Genomic DNA, 13,742 nt, shown 5'->3' on the forward strand with positions numbered 1-13,742 from the left:
CTCAGGAAGCTTACAATCATGGTGGAAGGCGAAGGGGAAGCAAGCACCTTATTCACATGGTGGCAGGAGGGAGAGAGAGAGAGTGAAGGGGGAAGTGCCACACACTTTTAAACCATCAGATCTCATGAGAACTCACTGTCACAAAAACAGCAAAGGGGAAATCTGCCCCATGATCCAGTCACTTCCCACCAGGCCTCTCCTCCAATATGACATGAGACTTGGGTGGGGGCACACATCCAAACCAAATTATTGCACCCGTGACCCCTCCCAAATATCATGTCCTTTTCACATTGCAAAATACAATTATCTCTTCTCAACAGTCCCCTAGTCTTATTTCAGCATTAACTCAGAAGTTCACAGTTCAAAGTCTTATCTGAGACAAAGTAAATCCCTTCTGCCTATGAGCCTGTAAAATCAAAATCAAGTTAATTACTTCCAAGATACAATGGGGATACAGGTATAGGGTGAATGCTTTTGTTTCAAGTGGGGGAAATTGGCTGAAAAAATGGGGCTGTAGTCCCCACACAAGTCTGAAACCCAGCAGGGCAGTCATTAAATCTTAAAGCTCCAAAATGATCCCCTTTGACTCCATGTCTCACATCCAGGGCACACCGATGCAAAAGGTGGGCTCTCAAGGCCTTGGGCATCTCTGCTTCTGTGAGTCTGCAGGGTACAGCCCCCATGGCAGCTTTCACAGGCTGGCATTGAGTGCCTGTGGCTTTTCCAGGTGCATAGTGCAAGCAATCAGTGGATCTACATTCTGGGGTCTGAATAATGGTGACCCCCTTCTCACAGCTCTACTAGGCAGTGCCCCAGTGGTTACTGCGTATAGGGGCTCCAACCCCACATTTCCCGTCTACATTGCCCTAGTAGAGGTTCTGCATGAGGGCTCTGCCCCTGCAGCAGACTTCTGCCTGGACATCCAGGAGTTTCCATACATCCTCTGAAATCTAGAGAGAGGTTCCCAAACCTCAACTCTTGCCTTCTGTGCACCCACAGGTCCAACACCATGTGAAAGTTGGCAAGGCTTGAGGCTTGCACCCTCTGACACCACAGCTTGAGCTGTACCTTGGCCCCTTTTAGCTGGAGCTGGAGTGGCTAGGACACAGGGCACCATGTCCCAAGGCTGCAGAGAGCAACTGGGTCCTGGGCCCTGCTCACAAAACCATTTTTCCCTCCTGGCCTGTGATGGGAGGGGCTGCTGTGAAGTTCTCTGAAATGCCCTGGAGACATTTCTCCTGTTGTCTTGGCTATTGACATTCAGCTCCATTTTACTTATGCAAACTTCTGCAGCAGGGTTGAATTTCTTTCCAGAAAATAGGGTTTTCTTTTCTACCACATGGCCGGGCTGCACATTTTCCAAACTTTTATGCTCTGCTTCCCTTTTAAATATAAGTTCCAATTTCAGATAATCTCTTTGTTCATGCATATGAGCATACACTTTTAGAAACAGCCAGGTCATGAATGCTTTGCTGCTTAGAAATTTCTTCTGTGAGATACCCTAAATCATCTCTGTCAAGTTCAAAGTTCCACAGATCTCTAGGGCAGGGGCAGAATGCCACCAGTCTCTTTGCTAAAGCATAGCAAGAGTGACCTTTACTCCCGTTCCCGATAAGTTCCTCATCTCCATCTGAGACCACCTCAGCCCGGACTTCATTGTCCATGTCACGATCAGCATTTTGGTCAAGAACATTCAACAAGTCTCTAGGAAGTTCCAAACTTTCCCACATCTTCCTGCCTTCTTCTGAGCTCTCCAAACTATTCCAACCTCTGCCCATTACCCAGTTCGAAAGTCACTTTCACATGTTCTGGTATCTTTACAGCAGTGCCCCACTCCTGGTACCCATTTTCTGTATTAGTTCATTTTCACACTCCTATAAAGAACTGCCTTAGACTGGGTAATTTCTGAAGAAAAAAGGGCTAATTTACTCTCAATTCTGCAAGCTTAACAAGAAGCATGACTAGGAGGCCTCAGGCAACTTAAAATCATGGCAGAAGGTGAAGGGAAAGCAAGGACCTTCTTCACATGGTGGCAGGAGAGAGAGAGCGCGAAGGGGGAAGTGCCACACATGTTTAAAGCATCAGATCTCATGAGAACTTGCTATCACGAGAGCAGCAAGGGGGAAATCCATCCCCATGATTCAGTCACCTCCTACTAGGCCCCTCCTCCAATTCGACATGAGATTTGGACAGAGACACAAATCCAAACCATATCTAAGATGTTGAGCAACTTAAACAAAAACTGCGCCCTTGCCCACTATAGATGCCCAGTCGTTCCTCATCCCACAGGAAATATGGGCTCAGAGACCTCAATGGTGGGTAGCATCATTGAGTGTTTTCCTCTAGCCCCAGCAGTTTGATTCTGTTTAATCCTTCTTTTCTCCCTAAATTATGTGGGCGCCATAGTTACCAGAGTTACAATTAATTCACAGATTAGGGGAAAAGCCATGACTTTAGGAAGCATATGGATGAATTAAAATGTTGGCTTTTCTACTCATTAGCTGGATGCTCTTGACTTTTCCCAGCCTTGGTTTCCTTAAGGGTGCAGTCAAGGGGATGAGATGCCTCCCAGAGTTGTTCTGAGAATTAAATGGAACAGGTTTAGTGAAAGCGCTGAGCTGTGTGCCAGGCATATACGAAGTAGGAGTTACTGAATGGATGTGTGATGGTGGTTCACCCTCCCCGAATCCCAGACTGGGCACCTTGGGCTCGCTGCCTCTCCATAGCTGCTGCAGTTCCTAGTGTTTAAGAGTGTGGGTTTTAGAGTCATACAGACCTGGGTTCCATGACTGTCTGATTATGTTTCCTTGGGCAAGTTTTTGAACTCTCTGAGCCTTAGTTTTCTCCTCTGTAAACTTAGCACTGGTTCCTTCCTCCATCACATGGTGGTGGTGAACAATCCCATGACAATGCAGGATGTAGATATTTAGCTCAGTGCCTGGTGCATAAATAGTGCTCCACTGTTATCACACAGGGTGAAATTGCCTTATGGGCTCAAGCCCGTGGATTCAGACCTTACTTCTGGCTGCATCTGCCTTGCTCCAGATGTCGACTATTCCCCTTCCTGCAGGGGAAGTCGCACTTTTAGCCCAAGAGGGAGGAAATGGCTGCTCCATTGCCACCATCCTGCTCAAGGTTCAGCCCTACTGGTCCCATATTTGTGCCTTGACCTGGGTTACTCTGTCCCCAGCCCCACACAGTGGGCCTCAGTGACTCTCTCAGTCTGTGGGGGAGAAAGTTAACAATTCTGATTCCAAGAGCTTTGGAAAAATCCCACCTCCTCCAGCAGTCATTATTTATTTATACTTTAATCTTCATGGATTACTCTGAGTTGCTCATAGCTTTCCAGAAAGCTCCGAGTAAGTGGAAGTCGTACATGCACCCGAAGTAATTAATGCACTTTCTACTAGTGAGAGAAGGTGTAATTCGCAGGAATGTGTGTCAAGACCCACCCTGCTAAATTTATACCCTGTAATTTGCAATGTTTGTTGGCACTGAATTGGCAGGTTGGTGAGTCTAGCCTACCTGCTTTGCAATTATATCTACTGGCCGGTATTGTAGGATTGAGTAACTGGAGAGACTCATCACTTAAGTAAATTAGAACCTGCTTCTGGGACCCATCTGAGATCACCCTCTGGTAGGGAGGCTGGTTAATCATGTTTCCTTTGTGCATACTGGAGAGAATCTGATAAAGGTGAGGGAGGGAAGAGGCGAAGGCAGTCCTGAGGCTTGCCTGAGTGTGGAAGGACCGGCGGCTTGGGAAGGCATTTCTTCAGCAGTCCTCCTCAGCCAGCACTCTGGAAAAGGAAAACACAAAACTGTTAGAACAGAAATGGTCTTATGGTCCATTTTATGAGCTGCATCAGCCCTAATAATCAGCTCTGGGGGAGACTCGTGTTAGTTTTTAAAACTAGAAGTCACTTTGCAGCCTCTGCAGACCAGTGATTTTAGTACAGTCCTCGTAAATTTTCTTTCTGAGGGGAAACTGGCAGGAGAATCCGACAGGCTGCAATGTAAGCTTGTAGTTCAGGTGCTGGGAAGCGGGTGTGAGATGGTTGGATTTTTCCATGGCTATGTTTTTGTGGCCAGATAAAAGAATTGAGTGAAGATGAAATAAAGTTTAGGCAGACCCAACCCTTGTAGAAATCCCAGACACTCAGTTTACTCCACGTGACCTCTGGTGGACTGTTCAGCCTACCTGAGTGGCCTCTTCTCCTTTGTGGAAGGGAGCAAATGAGTCTTTTGATTAAAGTTGTTATAAATATTAGATGCTTGTAAAGGCTCCGGCACATGGAGAATACCCAATAAATGGTAGTTATCATTAGGGCCATTTTTATGTGAGGAGGGCATATTATTTGTCATTTGTAAAGAACACTTGGGGACGCAAACCAGGCAGAATGGGTAAACAAATTGGGTAAAATCCTATATTTTTTCAAAAAGCCATTTGAATGTGCACCTGAGGCCTGAAAATGTGGATTAGATACAGATTGTGCTTTGATGAGAGTGCAGTTGTACCTCAAGGAAAGCCTCCTCCATCCCAACTCCAGGGTTCATGGAAGACGGTAGCATTCCTATTTGGTGTTGGGACCTCTTCAAGGCTTGAGAAAATATAAGGAGGAATTTAGAATCTGGGGAGAGGGATCCTTTCTCCCAGGAGTTTGTTGGGGTCAAGAAATGTAACTTTAAATGCTCCTATTGCAAGATTGGGTTTGTCGATACACAGGCAATTCTTTGGGTGTTCCAGTCCTATGGGGTGAGAAAGAATGAATATATATATTTTTTATCTGTCTCTGTATGTGCCTGTGTCAATTCCTAGTAAATATTTATGGGCTGGCAAGTTGCAACTGGGAAAGGCCCATGTTTAACTGGCTAAATATTAATAAGCATATTCAAGAGAACTGAGGTCTTTGTTTTGTCTTCTTAAGAAATGAATCCGCTCTTATTCACTGTGTATTCACAGGAAACTGTGCTGTTCAGGGAAGAAGTACTGCCTTGTTTTCCTTGTAGGCTTTCCAGCTTGGATTTCGATTTCCACTGAGGCCTTATTTTTAAAAACATGTTTTTACAGCAGCATTACAACTGTGGAGATTATAGCAGTCTCCTACAGCTTTGGTTATGAAAATAATATATATCGTCTTTTTATTCCCTTTAATTGACCATTCTCTTACCTTCCTTTGTCTCCACATGGAGACACGGCTAGATATCTCCCTCCTTTGTATTTTTTTCTCTCTTCTCCAACACTCTGAGATCAAGGCCCAAGTAAGTACACACCTTCACTTTTATCCTGGTTTCCTGGTATCCAGTGAAATGGATTTCATACTGCTGAAATGTCCATCCTTTCCCCAACTCATATCTGTGGCTACTTCTACCTTTCTCTTCCTGGAACTTTCCTGAAGAGTTAATTTCCTTATCTTGGCAGTGCTTCCCAGGAAACTCCCTTTTTTGCTCTGAGACAGACCTTTTAATAGTATTAAATCAAATGCTTCCAAACCATAGTTTAGACCCCCTGCTCTGGGAGCAGTCATCATAGGCAGGGCTTTGACGAACTCCCTTTGCAGGATCTGGTTGTCTATCCTGGTCACCTGGATTTACAAAAGGCTAAGAATAGCATTGGAGAAGACAGTCCTGTATTATTTTTCACTTACATACCTGAAAAATTAGTTTCTATCCGAATAGAAATGGATTTCCACCCAGCCAGAGGTTTATGCTGAAAGATGTAAAGTGGAATTGGGAAGATAAAATTAGACTCTTTAGGAAAGAATGGGTTTCCCACCTCCACTATAATCACTGTCATGCACCCTTATAAGTGGATTGGGTGTTGCTGAAATGCAAATGCCATTCGTTCTGTTGCTGATTTGCTTACCGAAAGTTGCAGAAATTCAATCCATGCAGAAAATTCTATGAGTCACTTCATTTCCTGCAACATTTTTTTTCCATTATTCATATTATGGAAAAGAGCACATCAAAAAGGCAGGTCTGCAAATAACACAGTTTTCAAAAAGATTGTTTTATTTTTCTTACGAAGAAGTTTTCCAGAAATCTGTAACCAGTATCAGGAATTCTCCAGCTTTGTATACATAGCCACTCATGATCGGATTCTACTCCTTGCTTTTATCTTGCTTGTTGTCTTTGGGGTTTTGAAGATTTGAAGGAAACTGGTCAGAATTATTGACAAAGTGCTCAGGCCTCAAAAAATACTATCAGAATAAGGGACTGAAGAGTATAACCTACTTTATTGTGTTTGTGTCTGGAGTATCTGAGTGTTAAAATTTGAAGCCCAGGGTAGCTCTCTGTATTGCTTGTTACATTTTAGGATTGCTTGCCCCTTGCTCCAATGGTGCAGGCAGAAGAAATGCAAACAAAGTACAGCATTAGCCTTAGCAAAACATATAACTAGGACAGTGGATCTGCTGCCAAAAATACCATCTGCTGTTTTCCAAAGCCAGAGATGGATGACTTGAGTTGTCTCTGCCTTCAGCAAATAGTCAAGAGACTAAATAGATTTATTTACTTTAAGTTTGCCCAGCCCTTCATAATATTTCTTATTAGAAGAAGAATATATTTTGGAATTAGTGAAGATAGACCCAACTCTTTGATTCCCAAATGGATGCCTAAAAATTTCCAATAGCTTCCAAATTGGATTTTCTTATTACTTTTCTTTCCCATCTCTTTCTACATAGGGCTGCCAGGTTAACCTACCTGAAGCATTACTCATCTCATGTCACTCCCTTGCTCAAAAACGGATGATGTTGGCTTCTCCTTGTGTATAAAGTTAAGTCCAAGTTCTATAGTCTGGCACTTAAAGCTTTTCCCACCCTTATATCCTCCTCTCCATGACCATTTGCTTTCATGCCTCCATTTAGCTCAGCGTTTCATTTGGAATAGAGGTCTGCATCATACCCAACCTGCAAAGCAGCCTGGGTGGAAATTATTCCATGCAGCATTCCATGATGCTTCCCCTGGAATAAATTTCCCCCTCCTTAGAAATTCTTTTTTTTTTGAAATGGAGTTTCGCTCTTGTTGCCTAGGCTGGAGTGTGATGGTGCGATCTTGGCTCACTGCAACCTCTGCTTCCGAGATTCAAGCAATTCTCCTGCCTCAGCCTCCTGAGTAGCTGGGATTGCAGGCATGCACCACCAAGCCTGGCTGATTTTGTATTTTTAGTAGAGGTGGGGTTTCTCCATGTTGGTCAGGCTGGTCTCGAACTCCTAACCTCAGGTGATCTGCCTGCCTTGGCCTCCCAAAGTGCTGCAATTACAGGCGTGAGCCACCGCACCCAGCCCCTCTTAGTAATTCTTACATTCCATTTCTTACTTTCTTCTGTGGCATTTATGACTTCCAACTTTTATAATTATAAAATAATTTTAATTTTATAGCTCTTTAGGTGCACACTTCTTCTCTCCTGCTCAATAGTAGGTTTTTGATGTGCTCAAGTCTTGTATTCCCTGCAACCTTGAGTATAGTAGGTGTCTAATGCTTTCTTTTTGGGTAAATGAATGAATCAGTTAGTTGAATGAGTGCTTACTACAAAACAGAGCATGCGATAGGCAGCGGGTATCTATTAAATATAAATATCTTGTTCCATGGCCCCAATCAGTGAAAAATGTCATTGTTGAGGAGGTCACTGGCTAGGAATTTTAGAAGTGAGAACACAGTGGTCATTGCTGTAGTCTAGATTTGGGTGGTCCTTCAACACTTCAGATGTATAATTAATTTGGGATTTGTGTATCAAAAGTTCTGCTACCTCAATAATACTGATATTATAACCTTTGAAAGGGTGGAGAGAGAACCATAAGCAATTGTAACTTATGTATTCTTCATCAACAGGTCTATTCTGCTATTTTGGGGACATAGCAGAGGTCAGTTGGAAAGAGATTTAGCGAGCCAGTTAGAGCCTGATTTGCATGCTAGTTCTCATTACCTGGCTTGTCATCTTGAACCTCAATTTCCTCATCTGGAAAATGGGTATAAGTAGCTACCCGATGCAGTGTGGATTAAATGACAAACAGAAAGCACCAGTGCAGGCTCTAACACATAGTGGGTGCTCCACGAATGCAGGCATCACGTCTAAGGGAAGTCTGAGTGGCGGCCTGTCACCAGCATCATGACTGTTTGACTTCATAGTCTAACTGCATGACTGTGGGGAAGAAGGCAGGTACGGTCATAGAAGTTTGCTATTTTCTTCGAAAGTGATTTCTTACTATTGATTTTAATCAGTTTAGATTGTTGTTCTTCTATATTCTAAAGTCTCTAGGGGTTAGGAATTCTGATTAATATATTCTATAGTAGTCTCCCCTTATCTTCGGGGGGTACATTTCAAGACCCCCAGTGGATGCCTGAAACCGAATATAGTACCAAATTGCTGTCAACTGAAACCTATTTCTGTCCATGTGTTCCACCTACAAATTTAATGCCTTTCCATCCTAACTAAGCACTTATCACACACTCTGGCTATAACTTTTGCAGTTTGAGGTGTGACAGCAAAACTAGCACAAATTCTTTTTCCTTCTTCACAATTTCACAGATAGAAAATTTTTTCTCACTGTACATCTTAGCAACCTCAGCATAAGTTTTTTTTCCTTTCCTTACTAAGTCGAGAACTTTCACCTTTTCACTTAAAGGAAGCACTTTACAGCTTCTCTTTGGCATACCTGAATTACCAGCATCACTCTTCTTGTGCTTTGGGGCCATTATTAAATAAAATTGGTTACTGAAACACAAACATTGCAAGACAGAGGCAGTTGATCTGATAACTGAGACCGTTCTTAAGTGACTAATAGGCAGATAGTGTAGACAGTGTGTGTATGCTGGACAAAGGGAAGATTCATATCCTGGGCAGGACAGAGCAGGACGACACGAGATTTCATCACACCGCTCAGAATTGGACCACAATTCAGAACTTATGAATGGTTTATTTTTGGAATTTTCCATTAATATTTTCAGAAGTCCATTGACTGAGGGTAACTGAAACTGCAAAAAACGAAACTGCAGAAAAGGGAGGACTATTGTATTTCAAGATGTGAACTTCTGGGAATTTTAAAACTGGAAAAAAGCTGGATGGAAAAGTTGAAAAGAAAAAAGTCAGATGTTTGGGAGCAGAGGTTGGAAATTTATGCAGTTTCAATTCTATTTCCATTATACTTCTAAAGTTACCGTTAATTTTGAAATATAAAAAATGTCCATTTTGTATAAATCAGCTTGCCCAAAGGTATTATATTTGGTATATTTAGAGATAGAAATGCTGTTCCTTATTTGTACAGGCAACCTGAGAAATATTTTGTTTTCCAAATATCGCTGAGTGTTCTTATCTCTTGTCCTTTGAGCAGTACTGAGGATAATGCCTGATTCATAAGGGCAGTTGGGTAATAATACATTTTTTTCTGAAATTGTGTGCTTATTAGCAGGGCTTCTTAGCCTCTCAGCAGTTTGCTGATGCAAAGGGACTTTGAAGGAATGATGTCTGTTTCTTCTTCTTCTTTTTTTTTACTTTAAGTTCCGAGATACATGTGCAGAATGTGCAGGTTTGTTACATAGGTATACATGTGCCATGGTGGTTTGCTGCACCTGTCTACCCATTGTCTAGGTTTTAAGCCCTGCATACATTAGGTATTTGTCCTGATGCTCTCCCTCCCCTTGCCCCCCACCCCCCTACAGGCCCCTGTGTGTGATATTCCCTTCCCTGTGTCCATGTGTTCTCATTGTTCAACTCCCACTTATGAGTGAGAACATGTGGTGTTTGGTTTTCTGTTCCTGTGTTAGTTTGCCGAGAGTGATGGCTTCCAGCTTGATCCATGTCCCTGCAAAGGACATGAACTCATTCTTTTTTATGGCTGCATAGTATTCCATGGTATATATGTGCCATATTTTCTTTAGGAGTGATGTCTATTTCTTTGGATGGTGTTTTACAAAGTCTGTTTCCTTTTCTTCTCAGGAGTTTGCAAACCCCCAGGGGAGTGTGCCTGAGTTTTTTTCCTTCTCTCTAGCTGGGGTGATTGACAGTGGCTGTTACAGATGCCTTGAAATCTTTCTGCCTCCCATCCACCAGTTTTGCTGCTGCCCCATAGATAAGTGTTGTCCGCTAGGATCAGGAAGACATTGGTGGAGAGCTAAGGTAAGGCAGGCTTTGCAGGCACACCCCCTTTTTTTTCCTCAAAAAGATACTTTGTAAAAAAGTCTTCAGTTGGTTCTTTCTTTTGAAACCTTTCCTCCTGTGGTTTTTGGTTGTGTGTCCTGTTGCTGAACTGTGGGCCTGTGATTCTTGGGCCTGGCAAGTGTGTGCTGAGGTGTTCCTTCCACGCCTCCCTGTTCTTGGAGGCTGAGCTTTGAGCAGACCTTTGCGTGTTTACACAAGTTTGGGATTTTTACTGGGGTTGGAGAGGTGTCTGGAGATGGAGTTGCTCTGGGCAGAAGTTTGAACAGAAGCTGTTTTGTGGGAACACAAGAAGCTGATCTGAGAAAGAGAGACAGACAGATAGACAGAGAGAGGGGTGCATGACCGGCATGGAGCTGTGTACTAAATACAAAGGAATGGTATTACCAGCCTAGGCTTTAATGAAAATGCTGTGTAACACCATTATGGGAAATGATAACTTCTGTTGTGCCCAAGGAATGGAAGCGGCTGGAAGGGTGCAGTATGGGATGTGCATGGTACCTGCAGTGATGGTAACGCCTGGAGTGCTCTTAAAGTCACAACTCCCCTTGGCTGGGTGGCCCATCACACCTGCTCCCTCCTTTCCCGCCTGCCATGGGGAGGTGGCAGAAACTTTGCTGGCGAGGTGAAATCAGCCTTCCTCTCCCAGGGTTCAGACTCCTTCCTGAACATCTATCTGGGCAGTGGTGATGACAGGGCAGTGCCTTTTTGAAAGAATTATTACGGCAGAAAAGAGGAAGAAAGCCAGGTTCAGACATCTCCCTTGGCTGCAGGCAGAAATCAGCATTCAGTTGTCTAATCTGTAGACTCATCAAACATAAATTATTCTGGATGGCTTTTCTCTCTGTATAGCTTGCTATAAACTTTATGATTTATTTTTATTTTATTTTTTGCCAAAGACAAATAAAAAATGTTTAAACAAAAGAAGGGGGGAGCCCCCAGACGAACCATGTGGAAAAGTTCAGTGAAGAACCCCCTAGGATTCCTGATAACCAAGAATAATCCCAGAAGAGTTTGGAAAGTGAGTTGGATTGTAACTGGAGCTGGAATTGGCTTCCAGGGCAGTCCCCTACTCCCTGTTCAGATTCATTTTGGAACTGAAGCGACAGCAGCCATGTAGACTTTTCTGCATGCATCCCAGAGTCTGGCTGTTAAGCCGAGCTTCAGTAGATGCCACCGCAGAGCCTTGCGCCAGGTCTGAGAAGTTTGCATGCTTGGGGTTTATCAGGGTGTGGCTCGTGCCATTTTGGGCATTGCAGAAAAGGAGTGGGGCTGTTTTGAGTATTCAGAGAAAATGAGTGAATCAATTAAAAATAAATCCGGGACATGCCATTCCCCCCCCCCGCCCCCTGCCCCCATTGCCTGTCCCCGTCCCCACCCCTTGTCATTGCATTGTGAACTCTTGGACTTGATAGTGAGGTTGCTGGTTGCTCAGGCTGTAGAAGGAAGAAAGGAGAGGAATGGTGTCTATAAGCCAGCTGTGCTGTTCAAAAACATGTTTTTTACTTTTTATTTAAGTAAACTTTTTATAGAAACTTAACGCACATACCGAAGAGCGCGCAGATGTTAACTGGGGAGCTCTATGAATTTCCATGAAGTAAACACACCTGGGGAACCAGGGCTTAGCTCAAGAAGTACAGCATTGCCAACCCCAGAGCCCCGGTGGTGCCCCCACTCCATCCTCCCCCTGCCCCCCGCCACTGTTCTGACTTCCAACATCACAGATTCCTTTCTTCTGTTTTTGAACTGGCAAGAATGTCTGGCTCCTTTTACTCCACGTTAAAAAGATCTAGTTTCCACCTCATCTTCCAGGAGGTGGGTTGTAGGATAACCCTCCACCCACTTGGGTTGCAAGGACAACTCCAAAACCTTGGCGACCCGACCTCCCACAAGCCTTGGGCTCCAGACTCCAGCACTCTTGTTCCAGGCGCCCTTGAATGAGCTCGTCTGTTTTCCAGCAGAAATCGTGGCCTGATGCCACCTGGAAGACCCAGTAGCATGGAAATAGGAGTCCAGAGCAGGCTGTAAGTGTGAGCTCACAGGGAGGGCAAGTGAGATTTGGAGAGACCTGCCACATTCCCCGCAGAGGACGAATGACGTTTACATCCCTTAATCAGAGTCAGAGGCATCCCACCCAGGCAACTGAGGTGTGGGCCTCTTGTGGGGAGTGGGGCTGGCCAGAAGGGAGGGGAGAAGTGTGGCTGTGGAAGGTGGCTCATAAGAGCTTTTATAGAATACACTTGTGTTCTAAAAGGGAATAAAAGGAAACATAGCCCTTGGGTCATTTTCTATGCTAACTCATTAATAAGCAGTCACCCACAGGTTTCTCCAAGTGATTCCTTGTTCAGTTTTTCTTTTTAGTTTGAGCCAACATTTGGGACTATTAGTTTCTGACTGTATCAAGTACTCTTATCCCAAACTTACTTCTCTTGTGCTTTAAGGAATGCTTCATGAAAATATTTTGTAATTTGGTGAGTAAGATGACTGTTTCCTTTTGGGTTTTGTTTCTTAATGTTAAAGGAACAAATCTTTCTCTGTGTGTATGTATTTTTACAATGAGCAGCGCTATGCCACCTCTCCCCTAAATCATCTTGGCCGCTTTCGTAAGTTCTCCAGGCATATTTACTATGGTGACACTTTAAGCAATTGGTTCTGAAGAAAAGATGCCAATAGAAAATATACCCACATTCTAAAAGGACCTCTCAGTTCCTTCCCTGCAGAGTGTGTGTTCTAAGATTGTGCAGATATAAATGTAAATACCAGTACACTATACATCTACATCTCTAGCGATGAACAAACATGGGATTCTGCTATACATATTGTTTTCCAACTTGCTCTTTCCCTTCTGACTCTATTGTGGCTATTCTTCCGTGTCAGTACGTTCTAACTCCTGAATTCTTTTTAAAGGCTGATGTGGTACTATGGCTATATTGCATCATAGGAGGGGACCTCAGAAAGTTTGTGGAAAGACATAATTAAAAGATAAAAATATAAACTTTACTCCTCAACATAAGCTTCATCAAGTTCAAGGCACTTTGGTAAGCGATGATACCAACCATTTAGTCCATCCCTAAAGAACTGAGGGTTCTGGGAATTTAACCATGTCAATGTGTTTTTTACATTATTAACTGAAGAAAAACATTTGCCTTTGAAAGATTTTTAGGATTAGGGAACAAAATCAGAAGCCAAGACTGTAAGGAGGCTGCCTCATGGCTTCCCATTGAAATTCTCAAAAAATTGCCCTGTTGGATGAGTTGAATTGAGCAGGAGCATTACTAGGATAGAGGAAGACTCTCTGGTGAAGCTTTCTGGGGCATTTTTCTGCCAAAGCTTTGGCTAACTTTCTCAAAACCTCTCATAATAAGCAGACATTATTGTTCTTTGGCCTTCCAGAAAGCTAACAAGCAAAATAGCTCTCAAGTATCCCAAAAAACTGTTGCCATGACCTTTACTCTTGACTGGTCAACTTTCGCTGTGACTGGACTACTTTCACCTCTTGGTAGCCATTGCTTTGATTGTGCTTTTTCTTCATGATTGTACTGATTAAGCCATATTTTATCATCTTTTTTTTTTTTTTTTTGAGTCTCGCTCT

General features: G+C 43.3%; 1 protein-coding gene and 1 non-coding gene across 4 annotated transcripts in view; both read left to right on the forward strand.

Moving 5' to 3' along the window:
- Positions 1 to 13,742, forward strand: part of LDLRAD3 (low density lipoprotein receptor class A domain containing 3) — a 288,075-nt gene that overhangs the window by 59,761 nt on the left and 214,572 nt on the right. The gene's annotated exons all lie outside the window — the stretch shown is intronic.
- Positions 6,276 to 6,382, forward strand: MIR3973 (microRNA 3973). The gene has a single exon (NR_039769.1). It is a non-coding gene; the product is annotated as a microRNA 3973 (primary transcript).

Source organism: Homo sapiens, chromosome 11 (assembly GCF_000001405.40).
Source record: "Homo sapiens chromosome 11, GRCh38.p14 Primary Assembly".
Taxonomy (NCBI): Eukaryota; Metazoa; Chordata; class Mammalia; order Primates; family Hominidae; genus Homo; species Homo sapiens.